Source organism: Homo sapiens, chromosome X, assembly GCF_000001405.40.
Source record: "Homo sapiens chromosome X, GRCh38.p14 Primary Assembly".
Classification (NCBI taxonomy): Eukaryota; Metazoa; Chordata; class Mammalia; order Primates; family Hominidae; genus Homo; species Homo sapiens.
This window is the reverse complement of record NC_000023.11, coordinates 31,962,224-31,985,828: the sequence shown is the minus strand read 5'-3', so window position 1 is coordinate 31,985,828 and position 23,605 is coordinate 31,962,224. Positions and strand designations below refer to the sequence as shown.

The window sequence follows — 23,605 nt, the reverse complement described above, 5'->3', positions numbered from 1 at the left end:
ATTAGTCTCCGTTATCATTATTCTCCATTATTCTCTGTGAAAGCATCCCGTGATTTTCTTTTGTCCCTATTACCACAATATGTGTTTATTCCGTGTATGTACATCTTTGTTTGTTTATTGTTTGTCTATACCTGCAATGAAATGCCTAAGGTCAGGAACTGTCTGATGCAGGATGCAATGCGCTCAATAAATATTTACTGAACAAATTAATTCATTTGCTCAGTCTTGCAGGCAAATGGTACTTCTGTATATTTAAATATCTAAAATGAAAGCGTTACTCGTTACTGTTGGTTGTCAATCAAAATTTAAATGTCGATGTTTAAGCGTGAAAGACCTCTGTCAAGTTAATCTGTACTTACCCAAAGGCTATTATGTAGAAGCGACATAAATATTTTCCTAAATGTTGATTTTCATATTTTAAGAAGACAATGAATGTTTCAAAGCATTTTCTTCTACACAGCTATTTATTCTGGAGAGTGGGGCATATGTTTCTTAATATTGTTAAAATTGGCAAGGGGATACTGTTGCTATATACAAAGAACACCTAATCATCATGCAGACGTTTTGTTTCTGGCTCTCAGTTATGAAAAGCAGAGATTTTAAAAAGTTACCTTTATATGCTAAATTAGGAATGGCAGAAGGTAATATTCTAATGTTTATAAGTGGTTCTTCTCTGAGTCCTTGGTTTCTATGTTTATGAATTCTCTTTTTGAAAGAAATTATAGTTATTATTACCAGGTCTATTCTTTTACATTGTTTCTAATTCTATGGTGATCTTCAAAATAGAGTATCAATTTTAAATACTTGGGAATGAAATTATTCTTCCCATATCATTTCTTTGTATGGCATACATTGTGATTTGTTGTCCCATCATTGTTTCAGTATGACCTGTTACTGCAAAAACATATTGAGATAAATCATCCCACATACTCTCGGCCAGGACAGACATCACACTGTTGCAGCAACACTTCAGATGAGCCCCATTCAACCTTGTGTTTTTATAGAGAAGGATGCCACATGTTTATATTCATTTCTGAAGATTGGCTCATATTATTTATTGAAACATACTAGTTTAAAAATCTGTCCATTTATATAACACCTGGTCTATCTACATAACTTGAATTACATAAATATAAAACTAAACTTCCCCTCTTCTCCAGTGTATAGCTTGCAAGCAAGTGCATGTGAAATAAATTAAAGCCTTGTTTGTGTTTTTTTCATCATGTGAGTACAAGACTTTTCAATAAAAATGAATTACTTTTGAACATATTTGTTTGGACAACAAACAAGAGAAAAGATCTATTTGATTGATAGTGGACAGAATTTTCATTAAGTTCAACAGCAGAAATACCACAATTGCATCATTCACCTTCGTGTATCAAAAGAAAACAGAAAATTAGATGTGATGAACTCTACACAAATGTTCACTATGCATACTTTACCCATTAAATACATTATCAAGAATCATGTCAGCATGACATTCTAATATAGCAGCTTTACAAAAACATGTAATCTAATCTAGGGATGCTGTTGTCCTCTTTAAATCAGCTTCAAACATATTCTGGGTTGATATTTCTCATTCTTTTTTGATCCACATTGTTTATTCACATAATGATTATATTTAACTGAAGATAACAGCATTATCAAAGTGAAAGACAAAATAGATGTTTAATAGGAAAGTGAGTATCGAATCATCTTTTTTCTACCAAAAACATCTATAATTATGAAGTATTTGGTTAATTATTTTCACAATAATTTAAAAGTGTACAACTTGCCGATTTTTTTGTACTTTCTACTTTTCATGTCTCGCATATATCTCTTTAATATCTAAGTATTTGAGTCAGAAAAGAGCCAGTACCGAATAATGGGAATCTCACTGAAATGTGATAACAATCTGGGGCCTGGTCCTGGGACCTTTATCTGCAGGACAACTTGGACAAATATTTAGACCCCCAATTCCTCGTCTTTACCCTAGGAATAATAACACATTTTTCTGACCTCATACTTCACGTGGATCTCAAATGGAACAATCATCTGATAGCACTTTATGAAGTATATGAAAGCAATAAATTATCACAATAAGATAATTGCAATTATTCTTTGGCATAGTATTAGTGATGTCTTTATCTGTCTGACAAAATCAACATTTCTGTATGGTAACTGCCTTTCCTTGTTTTAACAGAAGATCATGCCAGAAAAGATGAGTAGGTAGATACTTAACTTGTTGTTCCTGAATCTGGAATGTATTGCAGATGTCCCAGACTGATCTTTGTTCTTTTTTTTCCTTACAAATTTCTTTTCACATTGACAGTGTGATATTTCTTTAAATGTGCAATACATAGCTAACCTTATTTGTTTGTGTTTACTAATTAAAATATCTAAACTGCTTAAAGGAGAAAATTCAGTTTTAAGTTTTATTGATTTATACCCTTCTTCAATCCACATAGGATTAGGGTAGTATGTAACAAAATTTCAAACTATAAATGAAATATTGAGTTTTGTATTAAGGCCAAGGATGAGGAAAAAAAAAGTAAGTATATATGGAAAAAGAATGGTATTGAATGGGAGTTTTGATGGAGCATGTTGACATCATGATAATACCTATTATCTTTATATTCTGAATGTCAGAACAAAATTAGAGCAATTTTCCCTTATTTCCCTACAATACGTCTGTCTTAATAATTCTAAGCTTTCCTGATTTCAGTAGTAATCTGTATTTTGCAAAAGGCAGCATGTTTATAAGATATCAAGTAAACTAAGTTTATGGAACTTGTAACAGCATTTTTAACAACATTTCTCCCTAGATAGTTCATGGTAGACATGAATTTATTCAAAACTAGTATGTAGAAAAATACCATTAACAAAAGCTCTGAAATTATATTAGAGGAGCTGAATAATGTTACTTGAGAAAGAATAAAATGTTATTTATGATTTTTGGTATCTTTTACCCACTATATATGGCCATATCTCTGAAAAACTTTAGTAATATGTACTAATGCAAATATGGTAGTAAATTATGTCTACAGGTGCTGATACCATAGTAGATAAAGTATGATAACTTTATTTTAAAATATCATATTTAAATAATTAATATACAGTACTGGGAAAGACTATTTTATCTATTCTCTCACTCTTGAATAAAAAAATCCAGAAAAAAATACCTTGTTTTGGTAAGATTATATCAATTTATTTCCCAAATGGGTAGAGGGTTATTTTTTTCTGATCATAAACGTATGTCTCTTCATTATAAAAATCCACTAAAAGTGATAGAAGAAAACCAAAAGAATAAATGTAAACAATGATGCCATTTTCCAAAAATCACCTTCGACATTTTTCTGGATATTGATACAGTCTAAATCTCTTTTCGGAAGACTCCCTCCTGTGTAGGTTCCCCAACTACTCTGCAATCTTATTTCCTCTTGTTCTGTTCTTGTAGAAAGGAGACCCATTGTCACCATGTCAAATAACACAAAATGGTGCACGTATAAGATCATTGTCTCTGTCCATTATTTGCCAGAGGACCTCAAACTTTTTCAGGTGGTGGGCAACTGGATGTCATGCTGCTCCTTGTACAACAGAACACAATTCATTATTTATATGGTTATTTCATTTTAAGAAAATTTAACTTTCATTAGCTGGAAAAAAAAAGAAGTGGTTTTTAAGTTGTTTAGAAATGTGAAATTCAATTTTCATACTGCAAAAGAGATTCAACTGCAAACACAGGCACACATGTCTGGTGTAAGAACGAGTTGTCATACAAACCCAAATTAGCTGCCTCCACGTTGTCTTTGTTAACAAGTGTTTGTTTGCTCCTTGTTCCATCATTCAGAAATGCTCTTTAGCAGGAATTGATGGAACACAGTCGCAGTGACCTCTTCCTGTCTTTAAAAATCGAGATGACATTTGCCCATCTGCAGTGTTAACATAGTTCCTCAAAGACCACTGACAGTGGGGTAGGACTGTATTGCGCAAGTTCTCTCATTTCCCTAGAATATAATTGGTCCAGGGCCAGAGATTTTAGCTCATTTAGAGCAGCAAGGTGCTCTTTTAAAATTCCCTCACCTATTTTGGGCTTCATTTCCCTTATACGGTTATGCCTTTTCCAGTCTGATGAACATTCTCCTTGACAGAGCAGACAAGCAAAAGGAGCTGCACACTGCTGCTTTCTGTGTCGTCTCTATCCCTAACCTTCTCCCTTCTGCCCCAATCAGTGAACCTTCGTCTTTCTGGTTCTTCTTCCTCCAAATGGAAGTAAAAAGGCCCTGAATGTTGTCTTTACCATTATCACGAGCCTCAATTCATTCCAAGCTCAGCTTTTCCTCACTGTTTATACAGTTCTATATTGTTCTTCTAATATTTGCCCTCAGTTCTCTGTCCCTCGTTTCTTCCCATGTTCATACTCTATTAGAATCTGAGCACCTTTGAGGTTGTCCATACAGTGGCACACATCTTTGTTTTATACTCACTGGGATGATTTGCCATTATATTGTCAAAATTTTATTCTAAAGAGCTTTTACAGGCTTTCTTGAGCCATTTTCTCTTGAAATTCAAGATCGTTGAATCTCTACGCTTTTTCCTTCTTAATCTAATAAACATACACCCCCACATACACACGTGTGTTCCTGAAAGACAGATGCCACTTGACTCGTCTTATAGATTGTCTAAATTGATCATTGTGTGTGGGGATAAAAGGGTGAATTGTATAATATCCCTGATGGTTCACGAAGTCTGTTCCTGTATAACCTGATTAGTCTTCTGAACTCTTTTAAATTCTGTCTGCAAATGACTGAGGTTTGGCAATCAGCCTATTTCAGTTAGTTGTTTTCTTGCATAAGAAGGGTCCATATGTACTGTGTGAAGTAAGAGAGAGAAAGTACTTAGATTTGCTGGATGCCCTGATTGTTAGCATGGCTAAGGTATTGTGTAAGTAAGGAGAGCAGTTAAAAATGATATTGTTTTTATTTCTTAATTGAGGTAAAATTTTATATAAGATGAAACAGACTTATTTGGGAGAGGAGGAAGAGTTTGTTCTTACATAACATTTCAACCTGTCATATTTAGTTGAGAACTTCAATCTGTCAAGATACTTTGTATAATATTCAGATTCTGCCATCTAATATATTTTCCACGCTTTCTTACTGGGTGTGACAGTAACTTATACTGTGGCAGGTGTATAAGTTAGTAAAGATATTAAATGCTCAATCTGTTAACTTTTGTGAAGTGGTCCCACTGATAAAGTGACACCTCAATAAAATAAAAATTTCCATTACCTCAGAAAGCTTTTTCATGCTACCTTCCAGTCAATTCCCAGCCCCAATAGGCACCTATTCTTCTGATTTATATCACCATAGATTAGTTTTGTCTTTTTAAAAATTTGTATAAATGAAATCATACAAAATGTACTATTTTGATCAGCATACTACTTTTGAGATTCATCCATGTAAGTGTATCAGCTGTTCATTCCTTTATTGATGATTAATATTCTATTGTATAGATATACCACAATTTATTTATCTATTCTCCTTTTGATGGACATTCAGGTGGTTTTCAGTTTTTGGCTGTTATGAATAAGATGCTGTGGACATTTGTGTACAAGCCATTTGTGAGCATATGTTTTCATTTAGTTTGAGTAACTCTGTAGAAGTGGAATGGCTGGGTGAAATGTTTAAATTTATGAGATATTGTCAAACAGCACCTAAACAGTTTTCTAAAGTGGTTGTGCCATTTTGCAATGCCACCAGTGATGATGGAGAGTTCCAGTTACTCTACATCTTTGTCAATATTTGGTCTTGTCAGTCATTTTAATTTTTGCTATCTTACAGAATATGTAGGTATATTGTTGTGGTTTTAACTTATATTCCTCTGATTACTAGCACTATTAAGCATCTTTTCATGGATTTATTGGACATTCATATAGATTATGTGTGTTGAAGATTATTACCTTTATGATTATTGGGTGAAAATAGTATCATTTTGAGGTCATTCATATAACTTGAAGACTGGGAATGACAGACATTTTCCTGTTTTGTTTCTTTTCTTTTTACTTTATCTGAAGAGTCTACTAGAATGCAGTGTTGCTGCCTGAGCAGCAGGGCATTAGCTTTGTAAAAGCTCTGTTCCTTGGCAACCCCACCACTAATATGAAGTGCAGAACATTTGAATTGTCTTTGACCAGCTTCAGCATCAGCACTATTTTTTTTTTTTGCTAGACCCCTAGTAGGTATTTAAAAGTACAGAAATAGAATTTAATCATGCTTTTTACCAAATGTGCTATGCTCTTAGAGATTCTTTCAACGTGCATAAAAATTCTGCAGTTTCACCACATACCAGTAAAAGAAACTCAGTCACTCATTTAGCCATTTAGTAAAAAGAACAAATTAACTGATGAGCATAGTGGAGACCTCAAAGGTAAAGAAGACAATGTCCCTGAAATAAAGACAATCATAAATTTTCAATCAAAATAATGAAATTTAGGCTGGGCATGGTGGCTCATGCCTATGATCCTAGCACTTTGGAAGGCTAAGGTGGGAGGATTGTTTGAGGCCAGGAGTTCAAGACCAGCCTCAGCAAAAAAGTGAGACCCTGTCTCCACAAAAAAATTTTAAAAATTATCTGGGTGTGGTGGTATGCACCGGTGGTCTCAGCTACTCAAGAGGCTGAGGTGGAGGATCACCAGAGCTCAGGGGTTGGAGACTACAGTGAGCTATGATTGTACCACTGCACTCAAACTTGCATGACAGAATGAGTCCTTGTCTCTAATAATAACAAAATTTAATTTTTATAGACTGTGAAAAACCATTATGTAGATACAGTTCAAGTACAGTATGATTTTATAGGATAGATAACTTTTGCTTGAAAATGTATTCCCAATTTATAGGATAGATAACTTTTGCTTGAAAATGTATTCACAATAGAGTTAGTATTTGGGGCACACCTTTATCCATTTAACAAACATGTTTTGAGCACTGCCAGGTAGCAACACGTTACTAGGCACTAGAGTGAGAAAAGATTACAGTTCCTGCTCTCATGGATCTCATGGTCTAGTCAACTGGAATGAAAGGATTACATAAGTAGAGGTAAAGACACACATGATGGAGGATGGAGAATAGTCAAAGGTCTGGAGAATGACCAGGACGTCACTGTGAGTTGTCTAATTGCACTGAAGCATGGATGAAGAATTGGAAAGTCATTGTAAGAAGCCTAAAAAGGTATCTCTCAGGGATGCTATGAGGTTCTGAATGTTATGTACGCTATTTGGGCTTCAACAGGCAGGCACTGAGTATTCAGTATAAATTTTTGAGCAGGGAATCCACCAGAAGAACTATGCATCTGGAGGATTAATCTGGAAAGATTGTGTAGAATGTTATGCAGTGAAAGAGTCTGAGATGAAACAGTTAGGAGGGTGTATTAATAACATAGGTGAAGTGTAATGAATAACCAGGCTGGAGGAAAAGCAATAACGATGGAATCAACCGGGCAAGAAGTATAACAATTAGGATCAGTAAAATAGAATTTGGATTGGAGGAATGAAAAAAAAAGGGACAAAACAAAGTTGAACTGCTGGTATCCATACTGGAAAATACAGATGTCATTCAAATAAATAATGTAATGAATATAAGAAACCAGTTTTAGGAGTGAAGTGGATGTTGGCTTGAAAATATTTCCTTTGAGGTTTCAGTCAAATGAAAAGGTCCTGAAATGCTACGTGGTAGCCTAAGAAGGAAGCGTTCCTAGAGAGAAAAAAATTAGAAAAGATTTACATTTGATAATTTAATCTTTTCCTTCATACAAGCTAAATTGATAAGAAAGTAAAACCTATAGTTTTCACCACTCTTTTACAAATATCCCTAACCTTTTAGATATTCACATGAATAATTGAGAAAAATCTAACAGATGACTTGCTTATGTCATTTGTCTGCTTTATCCTTAGGTTCCTCTGGCTTATATATTGTTCAATAAAATACAGATCATTGATATTGTACAATGTACTGATAATGGGGAGTGAATCCATGCTTGTGCATTCTTTTTTTTTTTTTTTTTTGATTTGCAGAGGGCGTGCCCAGTCAACAAGAGAGGCACAATTGTTTTTATCATCACCTCTTCTCATCTAATTCCATGAAGGAGAGTAGTATTACCATACAACAGATAATGAGTTGGAAAACAAGAAACCTAACCTCAGAACTTAAGGCTTGGGGAAAAATAAAAGAGTAATTTGTGTTTAATGCCTGTATAACTTGGCAAGAGGGACATATAAGGCTTAGTGATGCCCAACATGTGCTTAGATGTGGATTGTTAGTTGATGTCTTGGGGGTTCTGTAATCTAAGCTAAATGCTCAAAATCAATTAATTGATGTTAGACACAGAGATCTGCTTTGATCCCTCTTTATCGTATTTCTAGGCCTTCCCATTCTCAAGAGCCTGAGAAACGACAGCTTTCCTTAATAACTTGTTATTTGTGGTAGGAGATGAAACTTTGATAAAAACACAATTATTTTTAAATGTCTCTTTTTCACTCTAGGCTGTTGTATGTATTTCAAAAAGTTACTTTTGACCCTTTCCAGAATGAGAAAGCAATCAAGAAGATTATAATATCTTGCTTAGTTTTCTGCTCAATTTATCAACAAATATTTCTTAAGCAATTATTAAGCTGAGCAGTGCTCAGCGCTGTACTTGGTGATATAGGAAATGGGGAAAAGACTGTCTTTAAGGCCTTTATAATAGTAATTACCTCAACTTGTCTGTTTCTTTTCCTTACCATTTCGCCAAATTCATTGATCTATCTTGTTCTCAAAGCAATCGCCATAGTTATATTGTAACACAGCATTTTCTAGGGTGTCCCCATTAAGTTGAGAGTGTTGACAAGAAAATACAAGCTTATTTATCATTGTAAAACTTGAGACACCTAGTAGTTACCCTAAATTAAATATTTGTTGGAGTCAGTCACACTAAAGAGAACACTTACTGCATTGAACAATTTACCTACATTAGACAGCATTTAAAGACTATGCCACAGCAAAGGCCCATGGAATTCTTGTGAACACAGAATAGAAGTGTATTAAGGAACAAGCTTAATTCTGTTCTCTTAAAGCACAACACTTTCTCAAAACATATTTTGAAATCACCTTTGACCATTTTTTTTAACTAATAGGTGGGTGGGAGTTAGGGTAGGAAAACACAAGCAGCTTCATCAAAACGATATTCTATTTTCTTCAAATTTGTGGGGAATCATACGGCCTCTCAATTTTCTACATTATGCTAATTATGATATTAATCTCTCTGCCAGCAAATGAAAATAATACATATTAGATGTAGCAAATGTCAATAATGACAAAATTAGTCATCATGCAGATACTCAGGGATTCCCAAAATATGTTTGGATTATGATTGCTAGCTTTGAGTTTGCCCAGAATCGTTTCAATAAAAATAAGGGACTCAAACACATTTGGAGCAAAACTCACATCATAAATTTTAGACATAGCTCTGCCAATAATGCTCTCAGTTATATTTTCAGTCCTAATATTTCCTCTGAGTTCCAGACCAGTATCTTCAACTGTCTGATTGATACTCTCTCCTTCATTTCTGTCTCCAATGCATTAAGTCCTGTGTATTTACTTTCCAAATGCCACTTGGTTCCATGCACTTCTCTCCATTTCTGCCACTGACTCCTCCTCAATCCAAGCGACCATCTTTCCTCACTTTAACTACCATGATATCTCCTGCTTGGTCTCCTTACTTCTATTCCCGGGCTCCTCCAATCCATTCATCCTCCAGCAGAGAATGATGACTAGCACCTTCCACAGTGTCTGGCTAATAGGAGGTATCCAATCAATAATTGACTTACAGAGTGAAAATATAGGCATGGCAAATACCAGTAGAGAACTACAGGGTTTTAGAACCAATGACATTAGATACTTCCATCAAATATTTACAGTGTATAATCAAGTTGACTTGCACATTGTCTTATTTTTGAAAAACAATTTTGTTGGCTTTTTCTATATGCACACATACATATTGTATCACCCTCTACCCGCCAAATGGCTTTTGAAGAAGTATTTATGTGGCTCCAAATTGATAATACCTCTAGAGAGAAGAGAAATTAGAAATTTTAAAATGACCTATGCTTCCTTTCGAATATCACGTCCTGAGACAGTGTTTTTTGAGTTACGTGCAATATGTTCCACGATGAAACATTTAATGTGTTCAGAGGCATGCTAGTAATCATGTAGAAAGAATTTTATGCCTGAAGTCACATGTTCTATAACCAGGATCACTTAATAAGAAAACAAGTACAGCTGTGGACAAGATGCCTTTTTATCAGGGAAAGGCCAATTTGTTTTCTTTGCAAATCTAAGTAAATGGAGAGAAAAACACAGCCCTTAAATGTTTTCTATTTGTCCTGAAGTTCTCATGAATGAGTTAGAAGGCGAGAAGGATTAAATAAATCCTTGAACGTAGAGAGAGCTAACATTTATTTTAGCAAACTAAAACCTATTCGCTTTGCAAAGTTCTGTTCTGTACTTTGTAACAACAGTTTTCTTTAAAACAAGAGCCACCAATTCAAATGCCTTTACAGAATGATTGAATGCTTTCATGCCCCACCTAAAGGCATTCAAATCATTAATCAAACAAAGTTCTAACGCCAAAACATGTCTGGGACCAGATTTAAAATGTAGCCCTCAGTTTCAGAGGGCAAAAACTTAACATATTTATATTTTCCTCACTTTAGGTAACACTGTATTGAATCTCTGCTTGAAATTGAGGAGCACGTGATTTTTTCTTTTTGGCCCAGGGCAGCATTTCTTGGAAGAGAAAGAAAAACAACCCAAGATACCCTTACAAAACATGTAGTACTTAAAGCTCTTTATGATGAATTAATTTTGGTATACACATTAATAGCAGTGATAATAACAAATCTATATATATATATATAATTGATATGAATAAGATAAATACATCAAAAGGAAATTTCATTACAATTTGATATTAGGTAAATGTCCCATTAAAATAAATTGCTACTGTACATAATTTTCCTTCAGTTCATTGGCAGGATGTTTGCTTTGGAAAATAAACAGTCTATTTCTAGTTTTAGAAGGAATTCTCATTATTCTTTTATAGCAACCATTATCAGGAGCAGATGGGAAATTGTACCAAGAGCATATCTACTATTATACCTCACAGGAAAAAGAGAGTATTAAATGAAATCTAACAAGGCCTGCTCCTGACTCTAGTTCCTGTAACAAATGAACACACACATTTGTATGGTTTCAGCATTTGTATTAGTAAGGTACAATAAATGTTTACTGAAATTGAAAAAAAAAAAGATAACAGGAGAAAGAAGAGGCTAAAAAGGTGCATTTTATTTCTGATCGTTCATTGTAAAGACTGCTCCTTTTTAAAATAATCAAATTTTATTTTATATACAGAGGGTACATGTACAGGCTTGTCACAGGGGAATAGCGCATGATGCTGAGGTTTGGGGTACAGATCTCATCACCCAAACAGTGAGCATAGTACCTACCTGATGAGTAGTTTTTCAACCAATGCGCACCCTCCCTCCTTCCCACATCTACTAGTCCGCGGTATCTGTTGTTCGCATATTTACGTCCATATATGCTCTATGTTTAGCTCCCACTTATAAGTGAGAACATATAGTGTTTGTTTTTCCTGTTCCTGCGTTAATTTGCTTATGATTATGGCCTCCAACTGCATCCGTGCTTCCGCAAAGGACATGATTTCATTCTTTTTATGACTATGTAGTATTTCATGGTGTATATGTACCACATTTTCTTTATCCAATCTACCATTGTTTCACAACTAGATGGATTCCATGTCTTTGCTATTGTGAATAGCACAAGACAGGACCTTTTTATTTGACTGAGTTCCTTGCAAATTACTAATAAAAGATCTGGAGGTCCTTAGTTAAAAGTTGAATCTGTAGTGCCGTTCAAATTTAGAGATGTATTTTCTGTTCAAGAGAAGAAAGCCCTCATTCGGTCATGCTTAATATTCAGCTGTAAAGTCCAAAACATATGAGAATGACACAAATGGAAACATTTTATAAATACCTATACAAAGGAGGGGCACTTAGTTCCCCTAGGCCTCTTAAAAGTCCTCTAGAAAGAGGGTACTTTTATGCTAACTATTAAAGATGAGTAACGAATTTGTCCTATACAACTTAACAGTATCGTCAAGGAAGTAGAAAGTTACTCAGTTTTACTGGGCATTGGAGCTAAGCTTGAAAGTGAGGAGGAGAAGCGGCAGGAGACGGAGCCGAGAAGGCAGTGGGGAGAAGAGGAGGATGGTCCTTTCCATGCTCCCTGTTGTACTAACATGTTTGGATATTATCTTATACTTCATATATGGACTGGATTCTTGTCCTTCTCATTCTGAGCTCTCCTTGACCTTGATTCTTACCTCCTATAACTTTCATTCTTTCTTTACTCAAAAAAAGGCCATTTATTTCAGCCATTTTTCACTGTTTTCTTATCCTTCCTAGTTGCTTTTCTATACTATTTTTCCACTCTTTTTTTTTTCTATACTATTTTGCCCTTCTCTCCATTTTCCTAACTGCTAGATTTCCCCAATTTTAGCCATCTTTCAATTGTTCTGACTATCCTCAGGTGCTCCCACAAGGTTATCAGACCTTCCACCAAGACGGAATCCCTCAGTCTATGGACAGGCTAAGTTGAATGGGTCCTGGTGCTGTGCTTAGCATATGCCTTGAGTATTTGTGCATTTATTTTGCTTCTTTACAAAAATCCATCATCCGATAGAAGTTGAAAGAAACTTGCTGAAGCACATTAAAATCTCTGAAAACAGTATTGGCTATATTTTCTAATAATTAGCATGACTGGTTAACTTGCTTTATTTATCATTGAAAAAAGTATCAGAAACTGTATATCAAACTCCTGAATTCTTGGCACTGACGAAGAGACACAATGAGAATGACCTTAGGATAAAAAAACAAGATAAAGCACCATATTTGTAGGAAATTGCACCATAAAAGTCTGTTTCACAACTCTCCCAAATTTCATTTTATTACATCTTTTCTCTTGACCAATCAGTAAACTCGGTTAATGATTTACCTGTCTCAAAATAATTCATGAACAAAATTACAAGTAAATCTCAGTATTGGATTCTTGAAACATCTCCTTGTTCAATGAAGTTTCCTTTTTCTTCCCTCTATTTCCCTGTATTTATCTTTTCTTCCAGTTGCATTTTATCTCTTCTGTTTTTTTATCTTGCTCCCTAGTTTGTGATTTTTTGCCAATTTTTTATTTCCTACATAATTCATCCAATCTGTCATTGTACAATTTCTTATAACTGCTTCTTAGCTTATTCCTTTTCTTCATTTGTCACATTCTATTTTTCATCTATTGTGTTTTCATGCAGTTTTGGAAAGTTTTACAAATAGACTTTTAAAAAAATGTACGTAATGTTTTCATAGAAAAGGTAGTGGTTTCTTTTTCTTATATCCTTCCCTGTATAAAAATAAAAATGTAGCAGTTCTTTCTTTGCCTATGTTTCCTCTTTCCTTCCCCCAATTTGACCAGACTTGAAGGACTTAGATATGTAACAGTGTTATTTTCTATAATTTAGGAACAGCTTTTGACTTAAAAAGCAGAAGAGAAGTTGAAAATAATATAGTAATTCTACATGTCCTTCCTGCTTCCCAACTCTCTGCACATGTTTGTAACCTCCCCTTTCTTTTTTAGTGTATCTCTTTCATATACCTTTGTCCCCAGAAATTCTGATTCAGTAGACTTAGAATGGAATTCTGGGCTTTTATATTTTGAAAAGCTCCCCACGGGAGTTAGATATGCACTTCTTATTAAGAATGAATGCTTAATATTGGAATCAAAACACAATAAGCTTTCTAACTATGATGAATAATCCAACAGATTTAATTATGATTTTCTTTTTGTCCAGAACCAAGACTAGATGTTAATTGCCAGAGAAATAGATAAGAATGCCTATGACAGCAGTACATTAATATGATATCAAAGCTTGGAAATTTTATTGGTAATGAATAATTCAGTACTTAAAATATTTAGAAGCTATAGAATTAAAATTAATTAATGTTGTTCACTGTGTGAATAAAGTTGATTGAGATTTTACATTTAATTTTGTAAACCCAGTGTTATCTTTTCCAGCTCAGAAAACACCACATACAAGCTACTACTTTCTGTTTTGATCCCTTATTTTTCTTTCTTATGCTTTATCACTGAAAACTCTCCTTGAGCAGGCCATGCACTGTAAATATTTCTCCTGGTTGCAAAACCTTCTCATACAAATGCAGTAGACTGTGTAATGAGCTCTTCTTTCACAAAATTAAAAAAACCTGAAAGCCCTGATTTGCGATTCTATACAAATGAGATTTAGATCTAACAATTTTAAATTATTGCTTCACTCTTAGCTGTTCAATTCTATCTCTTATTTGGGAAACCGAAATAATAAAACCATTGCTGATTCCACAATTAGGTTGTAAAAGTCACCGTAGCCATCAGCCATGAAGCAAAAGTGCCAAGATCAAAACTACAAAGCAAAGAGGCTGAGATAAAAATGCTGCAGCATTAGTTTATAGCATTATAAGCAGCAATAAGAATTCCTTGATTGCTTAACAAAGACTCAAAAGGCATTTACTCCATTACCTTACAACTCAAAGAGGTATTCCTGGACCAGCAGTATTGGCATTTTTTTGAAGTTTGTAGGAAATGCAGAATTTTGGTGCCTCCACGGACCTAATGCAGCAGAACTTGCAGTTTAGTAAGATCTCCAGGAGATTTGTATGCGCATTAAAGTCTAGGAAGCACCGCTATGGTATACATCTGATGTGTGCCCATGCATTTTTTAAAAGTATGAAGTAATAGTTGTAAGTATTGGACACTCTTGAAGGAACAAATAAGAGCCATGGTCTTTACTCTCTAAATACCTCCCTGACATCTATGTTTTAGGCAAAATTTTTTTCCCATTTCAGTAGTCACTGATGCTTGCACGATGCAGTTTATTCCAAAACAATGGTGATTCTCATGTAATAGTTCATGTTGCCTTAATAATTTACGTTGCCTCAAGTTCTCTGCCCAGGCCCCAATATACACCGAGGGCTGTACTCCTCCCCTAACGCCTGCTCTCATACAGTGGCATAGAGCCCAGTTTTATGCTCTTGGTCACATCATGGAGATTGCACACCACAGGCTTTAACTTCTGCCGTACTCTCACTGCCTCTAACCCTCCATATGCCTAAGTTCTACGATTCTTTAAATTCCAAATTGACCCAGAAGTCTCCTCCGCTCATCCTTTTCACTGAGATCATCCCTCTTCTGGCCTACCATTTGTTGATCACCTTGCTTTTTTTTTATCCTACTGTATGTAGTATAACAAATTATCACTTGCAACTGTGTCTTATTTTTTCAACTAGATTATGTACTGCCTAAGACCTAGAAAATTGTGCTTATTTATTTGAATCTCTAGGAGGATCAGTAATGGGTATTAATACTAATGACTCCATGGTGATGATGAGCCTGAACTTCCTCCCTTCCTTTCTTTCTACCTCTCTCCTTTCCTCCCTTCTTTTCTTCCTCCATTCCTTCCTCTCTTCCTCCCTCCGCTTCTTCCCCACTTCCCTTATTCATAGATTCATGCGTTCACTCAGCAAATGCTTACTGAAACCTTCCATGCATCAGACATTGTACTAAACAATAGGAAACTATCATGAATAAGACACAATATCTGACCTCAAAGAATTTATGATATAAAAGTAATGGCATAAACCGTGATTACTTTTGCACCAACCTAATATATAGACACAGTTTGTTATGACTGGTGTCTCTATTACTAAGCAATGACTGTCACATGCAACGCTGATCTGAACAGGTGGTAAAGAGTGAGATGTAAGCAATGGAGCAAAGCCAACTAGTTACAAGGAAATATCACATGTTTACTAGAGCACATCTCATGGGCATTCAAGAGAGTATGGCCAGGACAGCTTGTGAATAGTTCAGTAACTGTGCATAGTTTTATATTCATTGTGAGGCACCGTGTCACCGGTTTGCTGATTTACAGAGTATTTTAATTGCTAACTGTATGCTACCAAAATTTCCAGTATTCGAAAATAATTTTGCTTGAATGTAGAAAAAGAAAAAAGCCAAGAAATGTATGTGAAACGAGAGTCTAAGGGAGCTTTACCTCAGTCTCAGAAAACATGCATTCCTTCCTTCATTTAGGAAGCATGTACTGGGGTCTACTGTCAGCTTGCTATTGTGTCAAGGAGTAGGAGAATACAAAAATATTAGAGAATATGAATCACATCTATTAGGAGAGTTTTCTACATACGCACATTATTCTGTCAGTGACATAAGGATTTGAGTCATTCAGATTTAAATACGGTAGGTACCTCAAGTTCTCAGATATTATTTCATTTTCTAAGGTTCGTATTTAGTTAATATGTTATTTTAATGGCCTTACAAATTCTAGATTATCTTTTTTAAAAAGTTAAATAGAACGTAATTGCCATTTTTATTTAATGGTAAAAAGCATTTTTGTTTTTGTGTGTACTTGGTTGTAATATTCTCCTTTTCAATTGAGCTATTTTTCTGATACTTTACTCTTAAAATTTCATTCAGGAAAAAAGTAAACAATATTTAAGCTTGACAATCATAAAAATGCTCTGGTGACTATAGATTATTTTAAAATTTATTACTGTAGCTTAGGGATATCTTGATGGGATGCTCCTGAAAGCAATTAATTCTCAGTTTTTTGTGGCTTCTAATGCAAAATACATTGACGCAGACAGAATTTGAAATGAATTTTCTTCTAATATAGCAATTAATTTTATTTAAATATCTCTAGAGTTTTTTTTTAATACTGTGACTAACCTATGTTTGTTCTTTTTCACCTCTCGTATCCACGATCACTAAGAAACCCAAATACTTTGTTCATGTTTAAATTTTACAACATTTCATAGACTATTAAACATGGAACATCCTTGTGGGGACAAGAAATCGAATTTGCTCTTGAAAAGGTTTCCAACTAATTGATTTGTAGGACATTATAACATCCTCTAGCTGACAAGCTTACAAAAATAAAAACTGGAGCTAACCGAGAGGGTGCTTTTTTCCCTGACACATAAAAGGTGTCTTTCTGTCTTGTATCCTTTGGATATGGGCATGTCAGTTTCATAGGGAAATTTTCACATGGAGCTTTTGTATTTCTTTCTTTGCCAGTACAACTGCATGTGGTAGCACACTGTTTAATCTTTTCTCAAATAAAAAGACATGGGGCTTCATTTTTGTTTTGCCTTTTTGGTATCTTACAGGAACTCCAGGATGGCATTGGGCAGCGGCAAACTGTTGTCAGAACATTGAATGCAACTGGGGAAGAAATAATTCAGCAATCCTCAAAAACAGATGCCAGTATTCTACAGGAAAAATTGGGAAGCCTGAATCTGCGGTGGCAGGAGGTCTGCAAACAGCTGTCAGACAGAAAAAAGAGGTAGGGCGACAGATCTAATAGGAATGAAAACATTTTAGCAGACTTTTTAAGCTTTCTTTAGAAGAATATTTCATGAGAGATTATAAGCAGGGTGAAAGGCACTAACATTAAAGAACCTATCAACCATTAATCAACAGCAGTAAAGAAATTTTTTATTTCTTTTTTTCATATACTAAAATATATACTTGTGGCTAGTTAGTGGTTTTCTGCTATTTTAAACTTGAAGTTTGCTTTAAAAATCACCCATGATTGCTTAAAGGTGAATATCTTCAATATATTTTAACTTCAACAAGCTGAATCTCAGTTGTTTTTCAAGAAGATTTTAGAAAGCAATTATAAATGATTGTTTTGTAGGAAAGACAGATCTTTGCTTAGTTTTAAAAATAGCTATGAATATGACTATGAAGCTAAAAAAAGTGATAGTGTCACTTACCTCTAGTTTCACCACATTTGTGAATACATTCTTGAAGGGGAACTTGAGCCAAAGAGGTACAAGTTTAATGGGGAAAACAAAACCTCAAAAAGGTTACTGTCAAATTCAATCATCATTTAAATTTCCCTTGGAATGTATTGAAGGCACAGAAAGCCAAATGCGTGCTGCTGCAGTTGGAAAGCCTAGAGAGTTTATAAATGGGATTTTGTATTATGCTTCCAGTTGTTGATGTTAATGTGTCTTGTTTCGTAAAGGAAGACTTGGCCTTTATTTACCAAATGAGACTATTGTTATGAACAATGAAAACTTCGTTCTTTTGCCAAGCTCTTGCATCCCACCCATCATCCACATAATAGGTGGATTTTAATATTCAGGAAGCTAGAACAACTCATTGATGAATATCTTTCGTTAAGATGTATTAAAAAGAAGATTTTGGAATTATGTCAGTTGTCTTTGCCCACCTCCTCTTTCCCTCTTTATTCATGTTACATTATTCAGAAAGTAGATACAATTCATATTTTGTACAAAATAAACACATTAGTTGACCTAAACACACACACACACACACACACACACACACACACACACACACACACACACACACACACCCCTTGCCAAAGTTAAAGAATTATAGCCTCATCAAAAGATATTTTGAATAATTAAGTCTTGGTTTTGAAAATCTTCTTGATTATAGATAGATAAAATAAAGAACTAAACTTTGTAGTTAAACTACTTCCTTAGGTAAGTCATATACTTTTTTCCCAGATTGAAATTCTTCTCTTAATCATACAAGTATTTTATTATTTAGATAACTGATGTGCTTATACTATGAACAGGTATAAACCTGTATAATGTCATTTCTGAACTAGGCTCAATCTAATCCAAATTAAGATGGTAAGAAATGAGAAAATTAAAAAAATTGAATACCATACTATAAATATATATATACGGAGAGAATTCATAAAGTGGATTAAATCGACTGGAAGATTATTTTTCTATAATATATAAAGTATTGTTTCCTATTTTAAATGTCTTACTCATATAGTATTTGAATAGAGTGTATTAACATTCCCTCTGATAACTCTAATTCACCTGAATTTTCAAAATCTTGTTATCTGTTATTGGGCTCTAAAGGCACATTATAATTTATAAACAAAGATGTAGCAATATGCCTGTTTCACCAAATAAGCTCTAAAATTTTAGATCTTTCTAATTTTATAAGAAAGTGGTATATGCTGACTCTGTTGTGAAATAGTATACAAATTTTAAGTTAATTACAGCTAGGGATTTGGCTGTAATTAGGAAAAAAATTTTCCCATTTAAACATGTTGACCTACATTAAATATTGCACTTCAGTGCTTTAAAAAGTCAAGTTCAGCTTCCTTGAGTTTTTTTTTTAAGCTGAGCTTTTAAAGTTGTCTATTTCACGCTACATTTTAAAAATAAATGTTAACATATTTAAATTTCCACTGAGACCACTTTTGTGGCATACTTCCTCAGGATTTTTATATCACTTAAATTTTATGAAATGTAAAAATGTAATAAAATATAAGTACTGGTTCTACCAATATACTCATAGCTATTTCTAAGCATCCAGTAGCAAATCAAGTAAAAATTAATAAAATAATATTTTATGAATAATATGTTAACCTAACAATTAATTATAGAAGGGCTGTAATCACGAACCTATTGCTAATCAATAGTGTACTCTCAGTGCAACGCAAGCAGATGTTAGAAGGGAATAGAAGTTATTTATTGCACCGGTGAAAAATATATAAGATGCCTATTCAACTTAACAACAGTAGTCTTCGTTTGTAATGGACTTTAAGTACAGCGGTTAGAAATATTTAACATTTTTTAGTCCAGGGACATCAATGAAAGAAAGTGTATAAATTCAAGCTAGATGTCTATATGGAGCCCTGTAGTTGCAAAACTTTAAGTCTTCTGAAATTTTAAGATATTAGAAATAGGAAAAAAAATCTCAAAAGTTCAAATAATAGTGGACATCCAAGAAGGTTAGTCTATGTTGGAAGCAAATGAAGTGTGAAATGTAGTCAGTTAGCGATGCAGTTTAAGATAGACAATTCACTACAGCTTCAATTATGTAACAGAAGAACTGGATACATCTATAGGCTTAAGCATGATAATAATGAGTTTAATGATGGCGTAGCCACCAAAACTGTCTTTGTACACGAAGGAGGTGCAAATAAAAACCTATCATCGGCTGTAAGGGGAAGTCATAGGTTGATACAAAGCAAGCCTGTGTACAAGTCTTTAAGCAAGCGTCCATGAATAGCAAGGGGCGCCATGCTCTTCACTGGAGAAGAAAATTACCTATTTGTCTTTACTAACCTCTAACTGAAATTAAGCATTCCTTTTCATTTTGAAAGTAGGCAAAAAAATCACAGTAGTACAATCAGTACCTATGAAGTCACAGATATGTACACATCTCATTACAGTTATAATAAATATATCAAAATATCATTTATGCTTATCACTACTTCAAAACTGCAGTACTTATTATATGTGCTACAGGGTCTTATTGTTGGGCTTTAAAACATTATTCTGAGGAATGTCAGGCTTCAACAGATTGCCAAAGAAGTCCAAGGCATAAAAAAATGATCCTAGCCAGCTGTCTGTTTATCTGCCCAGAATCTCATCCTAATTTACTATGGTTTCAGTCATTTTAATGTGCAGTCACTATCTTCATACACTCCTTTTCTTCTGGAGTATTCTAGGAGAAGACATACCAGTCGAGGGGTTCTGGGGAGCCAGGCCTTCAAGCAATGGATTGCTGACAACATAATGAAGAGGATTTTACTTAGAATAATGTCAGTTGATAAAAGTTTGAATGGGAGACGGAAGCAAGGCAGTGGGAAGTGGAATTCCTAAATTGAGGAACCTCTGAATCATAATCCTTAGCAATAATAATTAAGATTTCAAAACATTATAATTCTTTCTTCTTTTAGACAAGTCTGATATTGCTTATCCCATATCACAGATAAGGCAATTATTCTACTAATATGCATTAAGGAATAGTGGTTTTAATTTAAGTGTTACCTTAATGAAAATAATTTTGAATTTTTTCCTTCCCCAAGTCTTTTTGTGAAAAATTTCAAACATATAGAAAAATTGAAACAATTGCAAAACATATGCCCATTTACACTGTTTTCCTCCCCCTAAATTCTTAGAGTCAACAATTGTTAACATTTTGCCATATATGCTTTTTTTCTCTCGCTTTCTCTACCCTCTTTCTGTATCTCTCATATATAGGGCATCACACACACACACACACACACACACACACACTTTTTAACATTTTTGCAAATAAGTTATAAATACCATTATATTTTACCCCTAAATAATTCAGCATGTGTCGCTTTGAAATACAGACATGCCATATATAACCATGCCTGTTTATTATGCTCTCCTCCAAATTAAATATAATACTGCATTATTGTTAATATCCATTCCATATTCATATTTCCTTAATAGTTCAAAAATGTCTTTTATATTTTGCAGGGGAGTTAGTACCAATATCTTATCATGGCTCATGCATTACATTTGGTTATTATTATTTTTCATCCTTCTTAGTCTAAAATAGCCCTTCCACATTTTTTTCACCGATATTGAAATTTGAAAATGTCCAGGACGCTAGCCTCAAAAAATGTCTCATCTTTCAGGATTTGTTTTATTTTTTTTCCCCTGATGGGATGATTTAACTTGTTCTGTAGTCTCTGAATTTCTAGTAAACTGGAAGTTAGGTCTAAATAAGACTTCAAGAGATGCATGTCAAACATGTTTGGCGAGAATACTTCATATGAGATGCTGTGTATTTTGTATTACGTCACATCAGGAGGTGCATCATATGAAGTAGTCTCACTAAATGCTGCAAAGTTTTATTACTTGCTTCAGGTGGTGACTGACAGATCTTGCATTATAATGTCACATTTTTTCTTCGCAATTAATAAATCATCTAATGGCTTTAGTATCCATTGATGATCCTTCCCTAACTCAGTTATTACACTGGGGCTTGCAAAATGGAGGTTTTCCTAATCTGACATGATCTTAACATTTACCAGCTGGCTTTCTTCTGTTTGAAAAAAAAAAAAAAAAAAGGTTTTTCCTCTATATTTATGTCAAAATGGACTCATAAATTTTTATTTATTCAATATATTATTATGAATTACAGTTATTATTCTTGCCCAGAGCTTCCTGCTCAATTGTCCCAGGCTCACCTTGGACTTTGCCTATCCCAGATTTAGAATTACCCATTTTTTTCAAGGAACTCTGGTTACTTTTAGAGGTGAATAGTACGTAGAAACGTACATCTGGGTAGTAGCCCCTTCTCAATGGAATGTGTGCACCTTTCTGGCAAGCAGTCCCAAAGGAGATAATATTTTCAGATTACCTTGGAAATGATTCTTGACAAATCTCTTTCAGAATACATGGAAGTTAAAAGTAAGTCTAGACATGTTAAAAAGCCCTTCTTGTGTGAGACTTCATGTACGGTCATTAAGTTACTACTCCTTTAAACCTCTCTACTTCTGAATTCTTAAACCAAAATGTACTAGTATATAATCTATGCTGGTTTGCCATGCAAATTAATGGTGTAAATAAGATAATGGGAGGCATTCGTAAATGTACTTAAAGGAAGAAATTATTGTTTAAAGACCTTAGCTCATTGTTTGCATGCAAATACACGCTGTTGATTAGAAATGAGCCTTATCTAATTCATTAAAGTAGGCCTGGTTGGTCCTCTTCTTGAAAGTCTCCATTAGCAATTCATATTGCTCTATGCGCTTCCTTGTAAGACAACTGTTGTCTCTTAAGTTTTCTTTAACTTTGGCTTCTTACAAATTCAGACCCCACCCCCAACCAAATAGCTTTCAACCAAATAGCTTTTCAGCATCTTATTTCCTACAAATTAAAAGCGAATATTTTAATGACTCAAATGGCTCTTTACAGTGTGTGCAATATGTTAAATGTACCCAGTATATCCGTGTGAACCAGTGCTACAAGCCTGCTCACACATTCACATTTTGCCCCCAGGATCTGTCCCGTCCGCTTGCTCTGTACTCAAACTTCCTTTTTTTCTCATTGCCAGTTTAGACCTTGACTCTCCATCCAGCCCAGAGTTTGGAAACTGAGTACCCACAGGCTGAATCCTGAATGCATGCAGTATTTTTGCATAGCCACTGTTTTTAAATAATTGACAACTTTTAAAAATTGAGAGACCTCATTTTTTAAAAAAATATGGATTTCTGTCTTCTTTTGAAAATTTAGATCTGGCTACTAGGCACTCATTACTATATTTTCTCTTGGCACCATCACCTACAACTGAGTAACAGATGTTTCATTTTCTTGCTACTCAAAGTGTGGTCTCTGGTCCAGAGCACAGACATCACCTGGGAGTTGCTAAGAAATGCAGAATCTAATAAATAACAGTCAGCATTTTTAATAAGATTTCCAAGTTTCCAAGTGATTCATGGGCACATTAAAGTTTGAGAAGCATTGCCTGGGGTAAGCAAGCTTTGTCCTCAGTTTGCAGCACCTGTCCCACTTTGCTCATTTATATTAATTGCTTTTCCATAGATATTTGATTTTATAGTACCTCATGCAGACCTTTGTATGATGATGACGGTTAGGGTGGTGATGGAAGTGATGGTGATAACACTTAAT

At 34.4% G+C, this 23,605-nt stretch overlaps 1 protein-coding gene across 20 annotated transcripts in view; it reads left to right on the top strand.

Moving 5' to 3' along the window:
• DMD (dystrophin) overlaps window positions 1-23,605 on the top strand; it is a 2,220,167-nt gene that overhangs the window by 1,353,560 nt on the left and 843,002 nt on the right. For all 20 annotated transcript variants that reach the window (XM_006724469.4, NM_000109.4, XM_011545467.2 and 17 more), the window contains 1 exon segment: window positions 17,315-17,490. In XM_006724469.4, the coding sequence (XP_006724532.1) occupies window positions 17,315-17,490 (176 nt within the window).